At 35.8% G+C, this 24984-nt stretch overlaps 1 long non-coding RNA gene across 2 annotated transcripts in view; it reads right to left on the bottom strand.

Moving 5' to 3' along the window:
* LOC105374524 (uncharacterized) overlaps positions 1 to 24984 on the bottom strand; it is a 507306-nt gene that overhangs the window by 315660 nt on the left and 166662 nt on the right. Inside the window, exon 13 of one of the 2 annotated variants that reach the window (XR_007058437.1) lies at positions 3080 to 3264. This is a non-coding gene — a long non-coding RNA (uncharacterized LOC105374524). Of the gene's footprint in view, positions 1 to 1990; positions 3265 to 24984 lie in introns of those variants that run through there. The other variant, XR_007058434.1, reaches the window with a different exon arrangement.

Here is a 24984-nt window from a genome sequence, read left to right as displayed (position 1 = left end):
TTAATCCTAATAAAAACAGATGAAAATACATAGTGAAAATTAGAATAGAAATCAATGAAATTAAAATCAGAAAATCCGCAAAGTCTGCAAACCCAAATGCTGGTTTTCAAAAAGATCAATCAATTTGACAAATTTCTGGCTATGCTAACCAAAAAAATAAAAGGAAGAAGGCACAAATTACTAATAATGTAAAGAAAAAAAATGCATCATCACTAAAGATCCAATGGACATTAAGAGGATAACAAAGGAATATTATGAGTAACTCTAGGCCCACTGATTAAATAACTTAGATAAAACAGACCAATTCTGTGAAAGACACAAACTCCAAAAAATTCACAAAAGGAGAAACAGATAACCGGAATAGGTTTATAATTATTAAATAAATTGAAAAAGTAATTAATAATTTTTTAAAGACAGCACCAGACCAAGATGCTTTCACTGGTGAATTCTACCAAACATTTAAGAAACAATACCAGTTCTTTACCATCTCTTTTAGATAACAGAAATAGACATTTCCTAACTAATTCTATGATGCCAGCATTATACAATTCTAAAACCAGATTAAGACATTCTAAACAAAGGAAAACTACTTGCCAATATCTCTTATGGAACTAAATAAAATATCTTCAACAGTACATTAGCAAGTTGAATCCAACAATGTACAAAAAGAATTATACAAAATAAGCAAGTGGCATTTATTCCATTTATGCAAAGCTAGCTCTACATTTGAAAAGCAATCTATGTAATCCATCATATCAATAGGCTAAAGAACAAAAATCACATAATCATATCAATTGATGCAGAAAATGCACTGGGCACAATCCAATATACATTTATGGCAAAAAAAAAAAAAAAAAAAACTCAGAAAACTAGAGGTGAACTTCCTCACCTTGATAAAGAACATCTACAAAATAACTGCAGATAGCATCATACTTAATGGCCAGTACCTGTATATTTTTCTTTTAAGATTAAGAACAAAGAATGAATGTCCCCTCTCCCCAGTCTTATTAAATATTGTACTGGACGTCATACCTAGTACAGTAAGACAAGGAATGGTCATAAAGGTACACAGATAATCAATGAAAAAATAAAACTGTCTTTTTAAAAGGATGACCGGATTATTTATGTAGAACATCCTAATGAATCAACAAGAAAATGGAACTCTGAATTAATTGTAGCAAAGTCATAGGAAACAAGGTAAATATGAAAAATACTTCTTTTATGCCAGCAATGAGCAATTTGAATTTAAAATTAAAACATAATACTATTTACATCAATATCAAAAAATGAAACATTTAGGCACATATATGACAAAATATGTACAGGATGTATATATGGAAAACTAAAAAAACTGAAAAAATAAATTTGAAAATGATGTAAATTAGTAGAAAAATATACCATGTTCATGGAACATTGTTCAGATGTCCGTTCTTCTGAATTGATCTATAGATTCAGCACAACCCAGTCAACATTTCAGCAAACTATTTCATGAATATTGATCAACTGAATCTAAAGTTTGTATGATAAGATAAAAGACCTGGAGTAACCAACACAATTGTGAAGAAAAAGAACAAAATAGAGGATTGATATTACTACTCAACTTCAGACTTATTATCTTCAGACTCATCAGCTTCAGCTACAGTGATAAGAAGAGCATGATACTGACAAAATAATAGACACATAGATCAAGGGAACAAAATAAAGATCCCAGAATTAGACCTACCTACCTATAATCACCTTGTCTTTGATAATGGAACAAAGGCAATACAATGTAGAAAAGACAGTCTTTTAACAAATAGTGCTATATATTCATAACCAAAAAAATACAAGAATTTAATAATTTGTACCTTTTATAAAAATGAAGGCAAAATTGGTCTTAGATCTAAATGTAAAATGCAAACTCCTAAAACTTCTAGAAAAATATTATAAAATGTGGGTAAACTTGTGTTTCCTAATAGTTTTTATATACAACCAAAAGTATGCTCCATGATAGAAAAAATTGATAAGTTGAACTTTATTATTAAAAATTTAAACATTCTTCTCTGTAAATATCAATGTAAAGAGAATGAAAAGACAAGCCATAGACTGGGATAAAATTATGGTAAAATGCATATTTGATAGGGGCCTTATTTTCAAAATATACAAAGAACGGTGAATTTTCCACAATAATAAAACAAACAACCCAATTTAAAAACAGGCAAAATATCTGAACAGACACTTCACCAAAGGAGATGTACAGATAAGGATATTAAAAAAATGTTTAAAACCTTTTGTATTTTAAAATTGCAAATTAGTACAACAATGAGATAGCACAAACCTATTAAAATGGCTAAAATCCAAACATCTGACATCAAATGCTGATATTTGAGGATGCAGCACAACAGAAACTCTTAGTCATTGGCGATAGGAATGTAAAATAGTGCAACCATTTTAGAATTAGTTTGACAGTTTCCTTGCTCTGTCAGCTAAAAGGAGCAAAATAGAAATTACACCTCAGCAGCAATGACCACATCTAGCACCTAGATATTACTTTCTAATACTGTTCTCCAATAAAATAAACCAGAGGTTTTTGATAAACAGCTGATTCTTGGACTGCAGCAGGAAATGTACAAGATAAGCTTGGAGCATCATGTTAATGGTAGAAAGTAAAAAAGGTTTTAAAAACTGGATGGTGATATGTCATATGTGCACAGTAGCCATTTGAAAGAGTTGCCAATGGCCAAATCTGAAACAATTTGAGCAACAAATTAAAATGGTATTGGATTATATGCAAAAGTATAAAATAAATAACAATGTATTCATATTATAAATAAATTATTAAATAAATTAATAAATGAGGAAAAAGAGACACGTCTCCAATGAAGAAGAATAACAAGTGAATTATGTAGAGATTCCACTTTAAAGGAGATGGAACATGACTTCCACTCCTTAAGTGTAGACTGTACGCAGTGACTTTTCCTTCCAAAGATTACAATTTGAAAAAACAAAAGAATTACAGTAAGGGAACCTGAAAATCTTCAACGGTGGTAAGAAGTTATGTTAATAATAAGCTTTATATGCAATAAAAATGACACTTTACCTCTATGATCTTCCTTCTAAAAAGTCACAGTTCCAGTGTAATCATGAGAAAAGCATCAAGCAAATCCCAATGGAAGAAAATTGTCAACGTCTTCAAAACCAAGAAAAGCGTGAGAAACCATCACAACCAAGAAGAGTCTATGGAGACATGGCAATGAAACATAATGTGGCATCCTCAATGGGATCCTGGAATAAGAAAATGATATTAGGTAAAAATGAAGGAAATCTGAATAAACTGTGAACAATAGTATACCAGTATTGGCTTACGAACTGTAACAAACATACTATGCAAATATACATATTAATAATAGAGGAAACCGTGTGTGTGGGGGGGGAGATAAATGTATAGAAAATTTCTGTACTATCCACTCAGTTTTTCTGTAAACCTAAAACTGTCTTAAAAATAAAGTTTATCAAGAAAAATTTAAAAATAAAGATGAAGTAAAGACATATTAAGGAATACACATGGTAAAAGAAATTATCACTCTAGACCTGCACCATCAGAAATAATAAAGGACGTTCTCAGGCAGAAGAATAATGATACCAGACAGGAACATGGATCTATAAAAGAAATAAAATACCTGGGAAGGAATAAAAATGTGAGTAAATATAAAATATGTTATTCTTTATGTTTAATATCTTTAAATGATGTGACTGTCTGAAGGTACGATAGTACCAAGGTATTGTGGTACTTACATGTAGAATTAAAATATTTGACCAAAAATAGCAAAGAGTGTAGAAGGAAGTCAATGAACTTTTCTAAGTTTGTTATACTTCACATAAAGCAACATAATATTATCAGGCAACAGACTGTGACAAGATAAAGATATATATATCTATATAGTAAACATTATGGTAACTAATATAAAATAATTATAAGTAATAAATTAAAAATAGAAAGTAAAAATAAGAAACAAAAACCAGATAGTATAAATAGAAAAAAATTGCAAGATAGTATATTTAAATGTAAGCATATACATCAATTACATTAAATGCAAATTATATAAATGCTAAATTAAAAGGCATAGATTTTAAAATCATATAAAAAAATAATATATGCTACCAACAATGAGATCAATGACAAATATAAGACATAGATTAGTTAAAATCAATAGCAAATATGCCACACAACTCTAATGGAAAGAAAACTGAAGAGGCTATAATACTATCAGACAAACTAGACTTGAGAAAAGGAAATATTGTATTACATTGAAATAATGGGATAAGTTTATCAGGAAAATATGATAATGCAAAAATATATTTGCTATAGAAATACAAGGAAATATATTTAATTCCACAATTAATGATGGAGAATTTAGCACTGAAAAGCACTTCTATTAAAAAACCACATCTAACATATAAATGCTGAAAGACTGATTCCTCCCTAAGATCAGGGACAATGCAAGTATGTCTGCCCTCACTACATTTATTTAACATTGTACCAGAAGTTCTGGCAAAGACTGTAAGGCAGGACAAAGAAAGAAAATACTAACATAAGAAAAATGTTTAAAAACTATGTGCATTCACAGATAACAATCATCTACAGAGAAAAATCACAACATAGCTAATAAAAAAGGCTCATGAGGAAATGAGTGACTTTAGCAAGATAACGGAATACAAGGTTATTAGAAACAAAAGCAACTATTTCTAGCCGTGTTCAATTGGAAATTCTAAAATTTTTAAAAATACTTCCTATAAAAGCATCGAAAACATTAGAAAATTTAACAAAATATGTGCAGTCTGTACACTGAAAACCATAAAACATTACTGAGAAATATAAAAGACCTAAGTAAATTTAAAAAATACTGTATTCCAAAAATTAGCCGGGCATGGTGCCATGTGCCTGTAATCCCAGCTACTTGGGCGGCTGAGGCAGAAGAATCGCCTGAACCCGGCGGGCGGAGGTGCTGAGATCGCACCACTTCACTCCAGCATGGGCAAAAGAGCGAGACTCCCTCTCAAAAAAAAGAAAAAAAAAATACTGTACTCATGGGTCAGAGGACTAAATATTAATGTGATGGTTAATATTAGGTGTCAACTTGAGTGGATTGAAGGATGCCCAGATAATTGGTAATGTATTTCTGGGTGTGCCTGTGAGGGTGTTGCCAGAGGCAATTGAAATTTGAGTAAGTGGACTGGGAGAAAAAGACCCATCCTCAGTGTGGGTGGGCACCATTCAACTGGCTGCCAGCATGGCTAGAACAAACCAGGTGGAAGGTGGGATAACCTGGCTTGCTGAGTCTTCCAGCTTTCATCTTTCTCCTGTTGTGGATGCTTCCAGTCCTTGAACATCAGACTCCAGATTCTTCCTCCTTTGGACTCGGCCTTACACCAGTGGTTTGCTGGGGGCTCTCAGGCTTTTGGCTACAGACCAAAGACTGCACTGTCAGCTTCCCTACCTTTGAGGCTTTTGGACTCAGACTGAGCCACTACTGGCTTCCTTCCTTCTCACCCTTCAGATGGCCTATTGCGAGACTTCACCTTGTGATCACGTGAGTCAATTCTCATTACTAAACTCCCTTTCATATATACATAGATCCTATTAGTTCCGTCCCTCTGAAGGACCCTGACTAATACAAAAAAATGTCAATCCCTGCCAAATTGATGCATAGATTCAAGACAATCTCAATCCAAATTATAAGGTATTTGTTTTACTTTTAGAAATTGAGATGATTCCAAAATTTAGATAGAAATTAAAAGAGAATAAAAAGAGAATTCTCATTACCTGATTTCAAGATTTTAAGATAGAGTTAAAAAATCTTTATTCATGAATATCATAATTGACTATGCAGAAAATCACAGAAGGCAAATATGCACATAAAATATGTTTAAATATCTAGTTATTGTAGAAATACAAATAAAAAACAATGAGATGTCACTATCATCTGCTAAAATGACTAAAATTAAAAAGACTGACAATATTAAATGCTGGTGATATGGAAATCTAGAACTTTTCATACTTATCTTGTGAAATGCAAAATAGTATACCTCTCTAGAAAATAGTTTGACAAATATTTATAAAGTTTATATATATACTGATTATATAATCTAGTAATTCTATTTGCTCTGTTTTAAGTATGTCCCTCAAAGTTCATGTACTGGAAACTTAATTCCCAATGCAACAGTGTTAAGAGTTGGGACCTTTAAGAGGTGATTAGGTCATGAGGAGCCTGCCCTCATCAATGGATTAATGGGATTATAGCAGGAGTAGATTAGTTCTCATGGGAGTGGGTTCTCAATAAAAGGAACAAGTTTGGCCACCTTTCTCTCTTACTTTCTCCTGCTCTCTTGCCTTCCCACCTTTACCCCTAGGAAGACACAGCAGCAAGGCCCTCGCCAGATGTGGGCCCCTCTACCTTGGACTTCCCAGCCTTCAGAGCTATAAATTTCTTTTCTTTATAAGTTACCCAGTCTGTGGTATTCTGTTATAGCAATACAAAATGGTCTAAGACACTATTTTTGTATATTCAGCAAAGAGAACCAAAAACCTATCTTCACACAAAGACATGTACACAAATGTTTATACCAATTTTATTCATACTAACTAAATATCAGGAATAATGCAAAAATGTATCTTATAAATGAATAAACATGTAATATATCCATATAAGGAAATAGTACCCAGCAATAAAAAATAATAAACTAGTGATACATGCAACAACATGGATGAATTTTGAAAGCATCATATATTGCACAGAAGCTATATACTATATGACAGGACATTCTAATAAAAAAGATAAATATACTAAATATACAGGGAAAGTTATCAGAAGAGTCGTCATCAAGGCCTGGAAACTGACAGAGAGGCAAAAGGGCAAGAGAAAATATGATGAACTGAAAAAAAATTCCATTTTTATTCTGATAATTATATAACTACATTTGTCTAAACTCATCAAACTGTATACTTAAAAGACTATTTTACTGTTTATACATCAATAATACTTACTTAAAAATAAATTAACTGAGAAAACAATAAGAGCGATCGTTCCCTTATTCCTGACTTCAGGGACAATGATTCTAATGTTTTACAATTAGACATAATGTTTGCTGTCAGTTTGAAATAGCTAGCCTTCATCATTTTGGGGATTTATTCTTGATCTCCAATTCCTAATTGACTAACACTTTTTATCAATAATTGATGTTGAATTAGTTTAAAGTACTTTTTCAGTATCTCTCAAGATAAAATTTTTTTTTCTCCTTTGATCGATTGTTGTGATGAATTATTATTTGGTTTCCTAATATTGAATTGTTAGTGCATTCCTGGAATAAAAACCTATTTGGTCAGAGTGCGCTATCATTTAGTAAGGAGCTACATCTGATTTGCTAATATTTTGCAGCTGTGGTTCTAAAGATGTTTAATCTCTTTTTTTTAAATGTTCCATTTTTCTTATGTTTTGGCGCATGATTATGCTTTATTCATAATTGAAATTTGGAAGCTTTCCATCAATTTTTATAATATGAACTAGTTAAACTCACATCAGTTTCAAAACACAACCTAAATTATTTGGTGAGAATGATCTTTTGATAATTATTTCGTTGATATTATTTTCTATTTATTTGATATTTATGAAATTATTTTAAGCTTCATCATAAAGTATTAATTTTAACAAAAAAATTCCTTCTGGAAAATTATTCATTTCATTGATATTCTAAAAAGTATAAAGAATTTAAATAATCTTTACAAAAATGTTCTCTACATTTGATGTTGTATTCCTTTTGTTTCATAATGTAACATAGATACTTCTAAAAATTTTTTCTGTAGTATCAGCAGCTCACAAAATTCAATACAATTTGGAATAGCCTGGAAAATTTTTCAACATGAATTGGTCTTAGCATAACCTCAGAAAGAATGAATTAACATTTCTTATATGAAAAAAATAAATGTTGCATTTGATCTTTAGTCTTCCATTTTTATTTAATTTCCCTGATAAGTGAAGGTTGAACATCTCAAATCCAAAAATGTGATATCCAAAATGCTCAAAAATCCAAAACTTTTGGAGCGCTAATGTTACAGTCAAAGGAAATGCTCATTGGAATATTTTGGATTTCAGATTTTTAGGTTTGGGATGCTAACCCAGGTATGATGCAAATACTCCAAACTCCAAAAAAAATCCAAAATCTGAATCTTTTTTTTTTTGTTTTGTCTTTGTTTTGTTTTGAGATGGAGTCTCGCGCTGCCGCCCAGGCTGGATTGCAGTGGCGCGATCTCGGCTCACTGCAAGCTCTGCCTCCTAGGTTCATGTCATTCTCCTGCCTCAGCCTCCAGAGTAGCTGGGACTACAGGCGCCCACCACCACGCCCGGCTAATTTTCTGTATTCTTAATAGAGACAGGGTTTCACCGTGTTAGCCAGGATGGTCTCAATCTCCCGACCTCCTGATCCACCAGCCTTGGCCTCCCAAAGTGCTGGGATTACAGACGTGACCCATCGCGCCTGGCCCGAAACACTTCTAATCCCAAACACTTCAGATAAGGGATACTCAACTTGCGTTCTTTTTTTTTTTTTTGACCATGATCTATTTTTTAACTATTTTTTAATGCTAGTTTGTAATTTGAAAATCATGCTTTTATTCTGTATTTTTCCCTGAATCAACCTTAAAATATTTGAAAAAAAATTAGTGGTCTTATCTTTTATAAAATTACATTTTAATTTTTTTCTGCATGGGATACTTGTTTCTTCTCCCTCATTTACATATTCAATAATTGATACCCATGTGGGATCATACATATTTATTTTATAATCTAATATTATTTAACTTTATTAGTTCCCATTATTCCAGGTTTGGCTATTAGAAGCTCTTTGAGTGTCTCTGTATCCTTTGACAGGGTTCCGTCAGAGCAGAATTTTGTTTTTTTGGTTTTTTTTTTCCTCATCATTTCCTTACCATTAGCAATACAAGATGCTCCAAGCCCCAGGCCTAGACCAGCCATTTCTTAAAGGAGCCTTGGCTCCTTTTATTTAAGAATGGTACTCAGAACCAAGACCTGAGCTCCAGATATACTCGTTAACATACTGGGATGTTTTTACTTCCAGGTTGATGAAGAAAACATATACATGTATACTAACCTGTGTATATACACATCTATAAATACTTCTTCTATGTAACCATACATATGTATATAAAGTTACACATGAGTTCATACTGATGTCTACAACTCTTATCTATTAAAATATGGATTATTCTAGCCTCCTCCCTTTGCTTATGGGTAAATCCTGACTTCCCACCTGGCCCCCATTACCCACCATCCACTTACTTAACTGTTCAATTCTTGTATACATGTAGAGCAGTACAATAATTTTAAACTAATTGTTCTGTACGAAACAACATTTTCCACTCAATTCCCATACTTAATATGCACTGTTTTTTGCCTGTAATTTTACAAATTCCACTCGTTTCTAGTTAAATCAGCGTGTTATCCATCATCCTTTGTGGTGATGTTGCTTCCCACATTTGTAATACAGTGAGATTGATTTGTCACATTCCACATTCCATCCTGGGATTTCCCAATAACCTATGTTTTAATAATAAATTGCATACATTATACGGATAATCTGCTTGCAAGAAAGTGGATAATCTGCTTGCATAAGGCCCTACATCTTGACTGTGGACAGAACGTAGTGACTTCCTTCAAGAGAGTATATTGTTCAATGAGAAGAAGAAAACTTTACAGTGGAGAAACATGACACAAACAAACGCCATGTTAGCCAGGTGATCAACTTACAAAAGATGTTAATAATAGATGAAATTATTCAGGACCTATGGAAACTCTCTGTACTATCTTTACAATTTCTCTGTAAAGTTAAAACTTTATTTTAAAAAAGTTTGTATCTAATCACTATCTCTTGATAAGTAAAACAAACTTTCATTACTTTTTTCCTTTAATCTAATATTTTAGATCATGATAATGACGATGATGATGATGATGATGATTTGTTGTTGTTTTCTTCAACTTTTAAGTTCCAGGGAATATGTGCAGGATGTGCAGTTTTATTGCATAGCTAGAAGTGTGCTATGGTGGTCTGCTGCACAGATCAATCCATCACCTTGGTGTTAAGCCCAGCATCCATTAGCTATTCTTCCTGATGTTCTCCCTCCCCCAACCCCACCCTCGACAGGCCCCAGTGTGTATTGTCCCGACCTTGTGTCCCTGTGTGCTCATCACTGAGCTCCCACTTATGAGAACATTAGGTGTTTGGTTTTCTGTTCCTGCATTAGTTTGCTGAGGATAATGGCTTCCAGCTAATCTATGTCCTACAAAGGACATGATCTCATTCCTTTTTATGTCTGTGTAGTATTTCATGGTGTAAATATACCATATTTTCTTTATCCACTCTATCATTGATGGGCATTTGGGTTGATTCTATGTCTTTGCTATTGTGAATAGTGCTGCAATGAACATACGCGTGCACGTATCTTTTTTTTTTTGGGGGGGGGGGTGGTGGGGGGACAGAGTCTCCCTCTGTCGCCCAGGCTGGAGCGCAGTGGTGCGATCTCGGCTCACTGCAAGCTCGCCTCCCAGGTTCACACCATTCTCCTGTCTCAGCCTCCCAAGTAGCTGGGACTACAGGCGCCCACCACCACACCTGGCTAATTTTTTGTATTTTTAGTAGAGACAGGGTTTCACTGTGTTAGCCAGGATGGTCTTGATCTCCTGAACTCATGATCCACCCACCTCGACCTCCCAAAGGCGTGCATGTATCTTTATAATAGAATGATTTATATTCCATTAGGTATACACCCAGTAATGGGATTGCTGGGTAGAATGGTATTTCTGCTTCTAGATCTTTCAGTCATCACCACACTGTCTTCCACAGTGGTTGAACTTATTTACACTCCCACCAACAGTGTGAAAGCATTTCTTTTTCTCTGCAACCTTGCCAGCATCTGTTGTTTCTTGACTTTTTAATAATCATCATTCTGATTGGTATGAGATGGTATCTCATTGTAGTTTTGATTTGTGTTTCTCTAGTGATCAGTGATGTTGAGCTTTTTTTCATGTTTCTTGGCCACATGAATGTCTTCTTTTGAGAAGTGTCTGTCCATATCTTTTGCCTACCTTTTAATGAAGTTGTTTGTCTTATTATTGTAAATTTGTGTAAGTTCCTTATAGACGCTGGATATTAGACCTTTGTCAGATGGATAGATTGCAAAATTTTTCTCCCATTTTGCAGATTGTCTGTTCACTCTGATAATAGTTTCCTTTGTTGTGTGGAAGTTCTTTAGTAGAATTCGATCCCATTTGTCAATTTTTGCTTTTGTTGCAATTGCTTTTGGCATTTTTGTCATGAAGTTTTTACCCACGCCCATGTCCTGAATAGTATTGCCTAGATTTTCTCTAGTGTTTTTACAGTTTTGAGTTTTACATTTAAGTCTTTAATCCATCTTGAGTTGAATTTTGCATAGAATGTAAGGAAGGGGTCCAGTTTCAATTTTCTGCATAATGGCTAGCCAGTTCTCTCAGAATCATTTGTTAAATAGGGATTGCTTTCCTCATTGCTGCATTTTGTCAGGTTTGTCAAAGATCAGATGATTGTAGGTGTGTATTTTTATTTCCGAGTTATTTCTTGTTTTATTGGTCTATGTGTTTGTTTTTTTACCCATACCATGCTGTTTTAATTACTCTACAGAACTCTCCACCCCAAAACAACAGAATATACATTCTTCTCATCACCTCATGGCACTTACTACAAAATTAATCACATAATTGGAAATAAAACACTCCTCCTTCAGCAAATGCAAATGAACTGAAATCATGACAGTCTCTCAGGTCACAGCACAATCAAATTAGAACTCAAGATTAAGAAACTCACTCAAAACCACACAACTACATGAAAATTGAACAACCTGCTCCTGAATGATTCCTGGATAAACAATGAAATTAAGACAGAAATCAAGAAGTTATTTGAAACAAATGAGAACAAAGAGACAACATACCAGAATCTCTGGAATGCAGCTAAAGCAGTGTTAAAAGGGAAAATTATAGCATTAAATGCCCACATCAAAAAGCTAGAAAGATCTCAAGTCAACAATTTAACATCACAACTAAAAGAACTAGAGAACAAAGAGCAAACAATCCCGAAAACTACCAGGAGACAAGAAATAACCCCAAGATCAGAGCAGAACTGAAGGAATAGAGTCACAAAAAAACCCTTTAAAAATCAACAAATGGGCCAGGCATGGTGGCTCATGCCTGTAATCCCAGCACTTTGGGAGGTCGAGGTGGGCGGATGAGGTCAGGAGTTCAAGAACAGCCTGACCAACATGGCGAAACCCCATCTCCACTAAAAATACAAAAATTAGCCAAGCGTGGTGGCATGCGCCTATAATCCCAGCTACTCGGGAGGCTAAAGCAGAAGAATTGCTTGAACCCAGGAGGCGGAGGTTGCAGTGAGCCAAGATTGTGCCGCTGCACTCCAGCCTGGGAGACAGAGCAAGATTCTGTCTCAAAAAAAAAAAAAAAAAAAATTCAACGAATCCAGGAGCTGTTTTTTTGAAACAATTAACAAGATAGACTGATATCTAGACTAATGAAGAAGAAAACAGAGAAAAATCAAATAGACACCATCAGAAATAAGATTATAGCACCACTGACCCCACAGTGGTGCTATAATGGTTATTTCTAAATAACCATTAGAAAATACTACAAACACCTCTATGCACATAAACTAGAAAATCTAGAAGAAATGGATAAATTCCTGCACACATACACTCTTTCAGGACTGAACCAGGGAGAAAATGGAATTCCTGAATAGACCAATAAAGAGTTATAAAATTGAGGCAGTAATAAATAGCTTACTAACCAAAAAAAGCCCAGGACTAGACAGATTTACAGCTGAATTCTACCAGAGGTACAAAGAAGAGCTGGTACCATTTCTACTGAAACTATTCCAAAAAAAAAAAAAAAAAAAAAAAAAAAAAACTGAAAAGAAGGGACTCTTCCTCAACTCATTTTATAAGGCCAGCCTCATCCTGATACCAGTATCTGACAGAGATACAGTAAAACAAAAGAAAACTTCAGGCCAATATCTCTGATGAACATCGTGCAAAAATCCTCAATAAAATACTGGCAAACCAAATCAAATACTGCAAATAGCACATCAAAGAGCTTATCCACCACAGTCAAGTCGTCTTCATCCCTGGGATGCAAGGTTAGTTCAACATACATAAATCGATAAGTGTAATTCACCACATAAACAGAACTAAAGACAAAAACCACATGATTATCTCAATAGATGCAGAAAAGGCTTATGATAAAATTTAACATTCCTTCATGTTAAAAACTTTCAATAAACTAGGTATTGAAGGAACATACCTCAAAATAATAAGAGCCATATATGACAAACCCACAGCCAATATTTTACTTAATGGGCAAAAGCTGGAAGCATTCCCTTTGAAAACTGGCACAAGACAAGGACGCCCTCTCTCACCACTCATACTCAGTATACTATTGGAAGTTCTGGTCAGGGCAATCAGGCAAGAGAAAGAAATAAAGGGTATTCATTTAGGAAGACAGCTGATTATGATTATTTAAAATCTTAAAGTACGTGAGTTGTTTTTTAAAAACTGTATTTTTATATTTGCATTTTAAAACTCACACTTGGAAAACTTTTATTGGTTTATTGTTCACTGATGTTTAGCTAATCCTATTTCTTGAGGAAGCTGGTTCACTTTTTAAAACAATGGATTATTTACCATAAATAGAATTTAAAGACAAAATTGACAAAGTCAACATTTTTAAATTTTACCACGTTAAAGGTTCTAAAACTGATCTCTATTTGTTAAAATAGGAGCTTTCGAAGTGCATTAAAAGGACCAAAGACATACTAAGTCCAAAACAGAAGCTTTCTTCTTGCTGTATTCTGAAAGGCTTGAAAAAAAAAATGAAAAAAATAATGTCATTTTAATTAGGTAATTCAATTGAATTATTGCTGTGATAGTATAGCATCTAAAAGTGCCTCATGTATGCCAACAGTGGTCTCACTTATTGAGACAAGGGATACAAGGTGACAATTTTATAGTGAAGACAGACAATAAATTCATTATTACACGTTTTAAGTTTGAATTTAATTTAAACTTAAATTCATTAACTTCATTGAAAAAAATGAATTCATGTTGAGATGTGCAGTGAATAATTAGACATACCCGTCTGGCATTACACAAATTTCCCAGGTTGCAGAATTTTTAAAAAAATGAATCTTTAGAAATGGTAGTTGGAACTTAGAGAAAATTTATATTAAGAAGGAAGGAAAATTTAGAGAGGAAAAACTAACAGACATCAATATTAAGTGTGAAGGAATGATGACAAGGTAGGAAACAGCCACAACACTAAGAAGAGGCACAATAGACAGTGGTGCTACATGAACAGGGAGGGAGAATTTCAATGAGAGAGTAAACAGCAGTGTCAAATGATGAAGCAAGAGTGAAGTCAATGGGTAGGACAGTGTATTAGTCCATTCTCACACTGCTATGAAGAAATACCCGAGACTAGGTAATTTACAAAGGAAAGAGGTCTAATTGACTCACAGTTCTCCATTGCTGGGAGACCTCAGGAAACTTACAATCATGACAGAAGATAAAGGAAAAGCAAAGGCACATCCTACATGGCAGCAAGGGTATGAAGGAAATTGCCAAACACTTTAAAAAACATCGGCTCTTGTAAGAAATCACTCACTATCATGAGAACAGCAGGTGAGAAACCAGCCCTGTGATCCAGTCACCTCCCAACAGGTGCCTCCCTCAACACATGGGGTTTATGGGGATTATAATTCAAGGTGAGATTTGGGTGCGGACACAGAGACAAACAATATCAGACAGTTAAAACTTATTGACTAACTTTTAGAAGCTTTTTATAAAATGCCTAATTTATTCCTCCAAAAATCCTGCTTAGATAAAATTATCCTTGCCCCTTTGCAGAAGAAAAAACTGGAGCTCAAGAAGACTAAGAAAAACTGCCAATGGCCATAATGCTAAGAAGCTGAAAAACTGAAATTGAAACCCAAACTCTAGTGTGAGGATCCAAAGTTCACACTTTCTTCCTTTCTCTGTGCCAAATGAATGCCATAAATAAGAGTCTTAAAAAAAAAAAAAAAAAAAGAAAAAGCTATACTGTAATGCTGATGGAAGTGCCCATATTTTCAGAAAATTGAAGAAAGTTATTGTAAGTGAGAACATTGAAATTATGAGAGTAAATTACTTTGTTGAAAAGGAAGACAAGTCCAAAATTCAAGGAAGTTGAGTAAAAGAAAAGCAAAATTAAAGTGAGAACCCTTGGAATTGGTTAATAATCCTGGAGAAAGAATTGGTAGAGAAGAGGCTGAAGACACAGAAGAGGGACAAAAGATGGAGAACAGTCCCTGAGATGGTAGGAGAAATAGAGAGAGACTGGGACTAATTTGCCTTCAGAAAGGAATTGCTTTTCACTGAAAATGGAAGGAATATAAGAGGATATGTGGCCATGCATGCTGTTCTACATTAGAGTCAGAAGTTGAGCGTTTCCCTACACAATGGCAATTAGTGTTGCTTTTTCTTGTGACGTAGAGGAGAGTTAGGTGGATGAGTAGGTAATCTAGGAAATAATAATATATGACATGTTCATGAAATTAGAAGAAGAATTAGCATGGATATTCTTATTTGCAGTTCTGAAGGCTTACTGAAAGTTGGAAAGCATAAATATATGCATGGGAATAGACAGGACATAGAGTTGCAGAGTGGATTTGAAAATAAAAGTAGGTGGAAAGAACATTTAGCAAAAGAGTACAGTAAGGGGTATATCAAAGAATGCTAAGTGGGTAAATAAAATGAAGAGTGGGTATTAGGTGTTATAGATAAAAGAATAGTTATAACTATTTACCAAACTGGTGTTCAGTAGATCAGCAGGCTTTTTTAATTGTTCACATAAATTTAGTTAAAACCATTACAAAATCTTATTCAGAATAAATGTTAGTGTTTGTAATTCTTCAGTAAAGAAACATTTCAACTTTCATTATCCCTGCACACCATTTTATCTTTAATATGGTTGGACTCTGTGTCCCCACCAAAATCTCATCTTGAATTATAATTCCCACAGGGGCCTGGTGGGAAGTGATTCAATCATGGGGGCAGACTTCCTCCTTGCTGTTCTCATGATAGTGAATGAGTTTCTCGTGAGACCTGGCTGTTTGAAAGTGTACGGCACTTCCCCCCTTGCTCTCTCTTATGCTCTGCCATGGTAAGACATGCCTGCTTCCCCTTTGCCTTCTGCCACGACTGTAAGTTTCCTGAGGCCTCACAGTCATGCTTCCTGTTAAGCCTACAGCACTGAGTCAATTACACCTCTTTTCTTCATAAATTACCCAGTCTCAGGTAGTTACAGCAGTGTGAAAACGTACTAAAATCTTCCTCTGTGTCTCTCCTATGAACATGCTAAAACACTATTGCTCCTTGTAATAACATAATTTGGTAACTGATGCTATAAAGGAAGTAGAGAAAGGAGAAGACTGACGTAAGCAGATAAAAGTCAAAGAATGAGTATTCAAATTTAAACTTTTAGAGCTGATACATAAATACAAGATACAGGCCAGATAGAGTATATATATGATTAGGCAGCAGCAGTAGACTGTAGCTGAGCACACTTGAGTTGAAAAGGTCAATAGCAAATTGGGTAGATTGCTGGGTGGCTAATTCACATGGCTACAGAAGTGACCAACAGTCATGCCAGAATTTGATGAGAGAATAATGACCAACTGTTCAAGTAATGGTCAAATGTCGGGATTAATTTTGAGGTTAGTATATGAGAACACATCATAAAAGTAGGAAACGTATAGCTGGTTCTTTGGAATTTGTGAGACATGAAAGTTAATGGATGCAATAATTTAGCAGCATCTTAGCAATAATGAAAAAAATTACTCTTGTCTTTGGAATCTGCTCTGGGGATGTATGAGTCATCTCTGTTTGGGAAGGCAGCAGGGTAAGAGATGGCACAAGTGGGAGGATCCAAGTTTTGTTTTGTTGATATTGCTTGTTTTTTTTTTTTCCTTTTTTGAGTACAAGATGTGTTATGGATTGAATTGTATCCTGTCAAAAAATCACACATTGAAGTCCAATACTTCACAGAGACACACAAGAGAGAAGATGATATGAAGAGGCACAGGGAGAAGATGGCCATCTAAAAGCTAAGGAGAGAAGCCTAGAACAGATCCTTCCTTCACAGCCCTCAGAAGAAACAAACTCTGCCAACACCTTGATTTTGGAAATTCTGGCCTCCAGAGCTGTGAGATAATAAATTCTGTTGTGTATGTCATTCAATTTGTGGTGCTTTGGCACAGCAGCCCTAGAAAACAAATACGGATTGTATTAGTCTTCACACTGCTAATAAAGACATGCTGAGACTAGGTAATTTATAAGGAAAGAGGTTTAATTGACTCCCAGTTCCACATGGCTGGGGAGGCCTCACAATCATGGCAGAAGGCAAAGGAGGAGCAAAGTCACATTTTACATGGAGGCAGGCAAGAGCAAGCTTGTGTAGGGTAACTGTGCTTTATAATACCCTCAGCTCTCATGAGACTTATTCATTATCGTGAGAACAGCATGGGAAAAACCCACTCCATAATTTAATTACCTTCCATCAGCCCCCTCTTATAACATGTGGGAAATATGGGAGCTACAACTCAAGATTAAGATTTGCATGGGAACACAACCAAACCATATGACAGATGCATTCAGTCCAAAGGTTGAGGATGAATGGAAAATAACTGTTTTTTTTTTAACTTTTATTCTTTTTAAATCAAGAATTAGGCTTTTCTAAGAAAATAGTAATAAGTTCTAGGAGATAGAAGAATTTGGGAGTTGCTTTTTTTTCTCTAGAAAGCTGATGCCTTAGAGAATCAAGGTGCTACGTGGGTTAGTCATTGTTTCATTATTATTAAAAGCAAAGAATTTACCTCAGACTGCTCTTTTCTTTTAATCAATGTGCTCTCAAATGTCACAACATCACAGAGGCACAGATGACCTAAATGCTCGAATATAATCTGCTCTCATATTTTAATATCCCTTGATGAAAGCAAATCTTTGGCAAAGAAGCTCTCCTTTTGCTTTTCAGAGGAAGGGTGGGAAATGCCTCTGCTTTGTAGGAGACATTCTGTTCACATCTTTTTCCTTGCTGAATTTACTTGCTCACTATCTAAGGCACATACTACGTAAAGATCCATATTTGGTGGGAATAAGTTTTTCATCGCACATGACACCTTGAATGGTAATGCAGGAGCCTGTGTTACTCTGATGTGCGCAGAACTTGAAATTTTAGTGAATCAGTCCACTGGGGGTTGGATTTTTTTCTATATACTCTAAAATATTTCTGTTTCCAGGAGACAGCAGGAGGAAGAACTGCTGTTTGAATGAGTGTCAGGTGTTGTATGAATTTTTTGAATATATATAAAAATGAATACTGTGCAGACTGAGGTGGCTTCTTTTCCATCTGTCAGCACATTCTTTACAACCATGCATAAACCTTATTATCACACTCAGTGTGTTACTGCAAAAACTATCCCGGCTCTCAGAACAGTCTCTCTAGAGCTTTGAGTAAAATTCAAACTTCAGTGCAGTTAATGTAAAAACAAGCAACCTAGTAAAGAAAGGGGGAGGAAGCAATAGACATTTTTTTTCTTTCACAAAAAATGTACTACAGCTCCTTCATTTTATCGTATGTACAAGGGTAAATATTTTTCACTGAGTAAAATAGTTCCTGATGACACACATTTGGCCTTGATACTATTTTCCCACTGTATTCACATATATTAACCTTTGATGAAAAGACCACAAGAAGTAAAAGGCATAAGATGAATATGGAATAATTTCAGGGATTTCTTTTTTTTACATTAACCTTTGAGTTCTGAACTGTTGTAGTTATGTGTTTGGGGGTATATTTGGATAGAGACATTACTGCCACCCTGTTCATATTTATGGGCATGACCTTTGTATTACAGTAGCCCGCTTGGAAGCACAGTTATTTTTAATTGCTTTATGTGTCCATGGAGACTATTCTGTGCCTCTGTCAGTTATATACAGTACCCTGGCACATATGTTTGTTCAATGAATCTTTCAATGACTGGATATTTATAACAACATCTGAATATAAGAGGAGGAAATGTTGCAATTGGGGTGGTGCGTGTGTTGTTTGTTTGAAAATGTGTTTTATTGTCAATGTTGCCATATACTTAATGAGGTGACAGGAAGAATTAAAAGTGACAGATTGTTTTGGCTGCACTGGGGCCATCTGAGATATAGTCTCCTATAATGCAGCTCAATAAACCCAGCCTGTGTGAAGCCCTCAGAGTATCATTCATGGTTGCAGCAGGGCTACTCACAGAGGTTTAACGAGAGATGGTCACGGGGCAGGCAGCAGGAGCCTGAAATTGCTGTCGGAAGACAGTGAAAAGTGCTGTGCACCAAAACTTCCCCTGAAATTTGCAAGGGTGCCTCCATCACCAGTATTACAAATGGTTATTCTATTCGTGCCTGATTAGGAGCTCGATAGAATGATTGCCAAAAAGATGCATCTCAGGACAAATTATTTGGAAAAGAGGGCTGCTGCATCCTTTCTGCCTAAATAAAGCAATGACTGTGAAGTTTCTTCGTGAAATGTAGTGCAAGATATTCACTGATGGTAAAAATAGCTTGAGGCAGTGTTTGTCAAAATGTGGCCCCAGAACCAGTACCCTTAGCACCTCCTGGAGCTTGTTAGGAAGGCAACCTCTCTGCCCTATGCCAGAAATCCTGAATAAGAATTTTTAGAGTCAGGGAGGGAAAGAAAGAAAGGAATTCATTGTTTTAACAAGCTTTCCAGATAGCTGTTCTGCACACCAAAGCTGTATCCTTTATGGGACAATACATGTGACTATAAGAAATGAGGGGAAAAAAAAGTAATTATACTTATCAGAGACTTAATTAATTACATCTAAGGTAAAACTGCAGTTCATGAGAACCACTAAGTGGATTTCTGAAGACAATCTGCTCTCACTGTAACGTATATTAGCTTGGACCTTCAGCAAGCACTTAAACTATCCAAGATTCAGCCCCACCCCCATTGTTATAATGAGGAAGATAATAGTAACTACACTGTGGAATTTATGAGACTTAAATGAAATGATGTATTTTATCATACTTTGTACAAAAGTAAAATGTAGGCAAATGTTAGTTGTACTTAATATTACGTTGTCCTTACTGTGTACTCCATTTGAAGGCAGATCACAATTTAACAAGTTCACAACAGGACTTAGATAATAACAGCTATTCATTATTATTAAATTCTCATTGTGTGCCAGACACTGAGTTAGGCACAGTACAAACATCATCCATTTATTTAACTCATTTAATTCTCAATACAACAATATTAAGCAGGTTTAAAATTGCACCACAACAATTTTTTTGAAGGAGTCCAGTGGATGAAAAAAGTCAAGCGATTTGTGGAAGGACACATAGCTTGTAAATAACATCCCTGTGAGTCACATTCAGAGCTGTCTGACTTGGGGTGTTTTTTTTTTTATTTTATTTATTTTATTTTTGAAGACGGAGTCTCGCTCTGTCGCCCAGGCTGGAGTGCAGTGGCACCATCTCGGCTCACTGCAAGCTACGCCTCCCAGGTTCATGCCATTCTCCTGCCTCAGCCTCCCGGGTAGCTGGGACTACAGGCACTCAACACCATGCCCAGCTAATTTTTTTGTATTTTTAGTAGAGATGGGGTTTCACCATGTTAGCCAGGACGGTCTTGATCTCCTGACCTCGTGATCCGCCCCCCTTAAGCCTCCCAAAGTGTTGGGATTACAGGTGTGAGCCACTGCGCCCGGACTTTATGTGCTTTCTTAACCCAAAAACATTCCTTCTCTAGGCGAAGAAAACAATTTTTATAGTGTTCCTCGGCATCATAATTGTATCTATCTCTTGGTCTATAGTACTATGACTGCTGAGCAATAGTGATTAGAATTATGCCCATGAGTTAGAGTAAGGTGCCTCGAAATTAAATAATACATAATAATAATAATAGCTATGGCTTAAATGTATGTGTCTCCCTAAAATGAATATGCTGGAACCTAAGACCTAATGTGATAATATCAAGAAGTGAGGCCTTTAGAAGGTGATTATTTCATGGGATTAGCAACCTTATAGAAAGGCTGAAAGAAAATAACTAGGCCCATTTTTGTGCTTCCATCCCTTCTGCCATGTGAAGACACAGCACTCACCCTCTCTGGAGGACAGTGGTAAAGGTGCCATCTTAGAAGCATAGACTGAGCCTTCACCAGACACCAAAATCATTGATACCTTGAGCTTGGACGTCTCAGCTTTCAGAATTGTGAGAAATAAATTTCTGTTCTTTATAAATTACACAGTTTCAGTTATTTTATTATAGCAGCTGATATGGTTTGGTTCTGTGTCCCCACCCAAATCTCACCTTGAATTGTAATAATCTCCAAGTGTCAAGGGTAGGACCAGGTGGAGATAATTGAATCATGGTGTCAGTTCCCCCATGCTGTTCTCATGATAGTAAGTTCTCACCAGATGTGATGGTTTTATAAGGGGCTTCCCCATTCACTCGGCAATCATTCTCTCTCCTGCCGCCCTGTGAAGAGGTGCCTTTCACCATGATTGTAAGTTTCCTGAGGCCTCTCCAGCCATGCAGAACTGTGAGTCAATTAAGCCTCTTTTCTTTATAAATTTTCCAGTCTTAGGTATCTCTTCATGGCACTGTGACAACAGACTAATACACCAGCACTAATATGATGAGACAATAAAAATTAAAAGTATGGTCACCATTCTCTAAGCAATAAAATGGAAAAAAAAATTAGAGTATTTTTTTAAATTGTAATAGCAACAGTGGGAACCAATGAGGATTTCCTTATGGCCTCACAGGTAAGTTAACACCCTGTTCTAAAGTACCCTAGCTATTGAGGTTCTCACTGTCTTGTATAACTAATATAACACATCTTATTGCTGGAGCTCCCTAGAAACTATTGTGCAATTCCTGATGTTGCTAGTTTGACTCATCAAATATATAGGCATAAAATAAAAGATCAAGAAATACCTAAATTAGAGACATATCAGATGGCAGGAGCTTAACTATCCTTATGCCAAGTTCCCAAACCTTGACAGTGTAAATCGTTTTCTGTTTTGTTTGATTTCTCATGCCAGGGGAAACAAGGGTTTGGTGTGTTTAAAGTGACTTTGTATCCTTGCATCAACATAGCTTGTAAGTTCCATGGTTCACACCACCTCCATCTCTTCCTTTTCGTGTGTGTGTGTGTGTGTGTGTGTGTGTGTGTTATGTGTTAGGGAGAGAAGGGGGGCAGGTCTCTCTCTCTTTCACTTCGCTTTCCTTAAGAAGTCTGCCCAGGCATTGCTACTAAGTGGTTTCTTTGTAGACTAGATACAGGAAATAAAATTAAAGAAGGCAAAGAGACAGGAGCGAAACAGAACAGCAGAAAGGCACAATAACAACCACTGTCCTGGAGAAAGAGTTATTGTGCCACACAATGGTCTGACCATTTCAATGTGCAGGGCAGAATAGAGCACACCAAACATTCCTTCGCTTGTATCCTGAAATGTGAAAGGGTTGTCCTAGTTTCAGTCATTTTCTTTTATTCTTCCACTCAAAAGAGAGCTAATGAAACAAAAAGCCAAGGCTATACAACCGCTGCTCCCTTAGCAGGCTGTCGAGGAAGTGGCATTTCCATCCTTATTTCTATTCTCAGGTTGTTCCTGAGTCCAAGTAAGCATTTCTCCTGGTGAAACAAACTCTCAGGGATGTCAGGCTCATCTCCTACGTGGGCTCAGACTTTCTCTAAGGTCCAAATGAATGCCACATAATCAGCTGGTCCATAATGATGAACATTAATATAATGGGAGCCAAGAGTTTCCTAAGGTATCATAAATACACTTTTCCTTTTAGAGACAGATGGTATAACCTTTCCATGCTTGTTCCCTTTCTCTTGACTATTTGATAGGTTAGATACAATATAAGTCATTACCGAGTAACTTAATTAATAAATGAGAGACAACTTTATGGTGGAATAGACATTTAAAGCCCTGTGAACTAGGGAAATGTATTTAACCTTTCTGAGCTTCAATTTCTTAATATGTGATCAGAATAATAAAGTCTAATTAACAGGGAGTCTTTTAAAGTTTAAATTACATGAAATACAAAACTATTTCTTTTCTTACTAATTTAGGCAACAAACATTTATCTATTTGCTATGTCGCAATACTATGTCCAAGGTATGGATATATTAAAATGAAAACCTCAAAGACCTTATAGTCTAAAACTAAAACAAAATTCTAGAATACAGATTCTCCATGAACTGGCTTGATATGATAATTACATTTTTAGTTTTACATATCTCCAAATAAAACAGCATTTAAAAAATATATATATGCAGACAACAAACCACAGAAGTATTTTGTCACAGTTAGAAATGACAAATATAGTACAGTGGCTGATGATATCTTAAAATGTTTTTACTCACTACTGCTTTCAAATTACATTAGTGGACTTGGTGCTCGACTTAATGCTTTAGAAAATAAACACGCATATATTTTATAATTGTACATATTTGGTTTTTATGTGTTCAAAAGTGAATGGGGTTATGGGTTTTATCAAATTGCCAAAGGGGTTCATAGTATGACAGGTTTAATAATCCTGGCTGTAGAAGAAGAGATATCAAAGTAAATCAACAATTGCAGAAGGCCAGTGTGGTGGCTCACGCCTGTAATCCCAGGACTTTGGGAGGCCAAGGCAGGTGGATCACTTGAGGCCAGGAATCCAAGACCAGCCCAGCCAACATGGCAAAACCCTGTCTCTACTAAAAATACAAAAATCAGCCGGGCATGGTGACACACGCCTGTAATCCCAGCTACTTGGGAGGCTGAGGCAGTAGAATCGCTTAAACCCAAAGGCAGAGGCTGCAGTGAGCCAAGATTGAGCCACTGCACTCCAGCCTGGGGGACACAGCTGTCTCAAAGATAAATACATAAATTATAAAAGTAAGTAAACTAGCAATTCCAATACATTAGAATTAATACTATCACAGCAGTATAGTTAATGACATGTAGGGATATAATGGGATCCTAGCCCAAGTCAATGTGAGTATGGTGGTGGTGGTGGTGTGTGCGCGTGCGTGTGTGCATGTGTGGTGGGGGTGCTGGAGAGGACAGCCATAGGTGGTTGGTCTTGGAAGACTTCAAAGAGAAATTTCTTTAGCTAAGGCTTAAAAAGAAGATTAGAGTTAGCCAGGCCAAAAATAGAGCTCCAGGTGAAGGATAAGATACAGAGAAAAGGGATGAACTTTGCACGGCTTATACAAAGGCAGGGAAGTGGGAGAAGGTTGGATATGCCTGGGTATCTGTATGGCCTGGGAGAATTTGGAAGATAAGACCAGGGAAATAAACAATCACCAGACCAGGAAAAGGTTTGGATGCCTTTCTAAGGAGTTTGATCATTTTCCTAGATGTGGTGCAGAGCCACTGAAGTATTTTTAGCAGAAGGATGTGTTTTAGAAAGATTGCTTTGCCTGCATTGTGGAGGATCAGGGTGTAGCAACTGGAGGGGTGGTGGGAGCCAGTGAGAGAGGAATGAGTTAAATTAGGGGCCCATGGTAGTAACCCAGGCAAGAAATGAGGAGGGCCTGAATCATGGCAGAGGCGGAGTGTGAAATTACTTTGTGAAGTGTAAAATGCTACTATGGTGTTAAGAGAAGAAAGGAAAGAAAGAAGGAAGGAAGAAAGGAAAGAAAGAAGGAAGGAAGAAAGGAAAGAAAGAAGGAAGGAAGGAAAGAAGGAAGGAAGAAAGGAAAGAAAGAAGGAAGGAAGAAAGGAAAGAAAGAAGGAAGAAAGGAAAGAAAGAAGGAAGGAAGAAAGGAAAGAAAGAAGGAAGGAAGAAAGGA

This window comes from Homo sapiens, chromosome 4 (assembly GCF_000001405.40).
Source record: "Homo sapiens chromosome 4, GRCh38.p14 Primary Assembly".
Classification (NCBI taxonomy): domain Eukaryota; kingdom Metazoa; phylum Chordata; class Mammalia; order Primates; family Hominidae; genus Homo; species Homo sapiens.
This window is presented reverse-complemented; position numbering and strand designations above follow the sequence as displayed.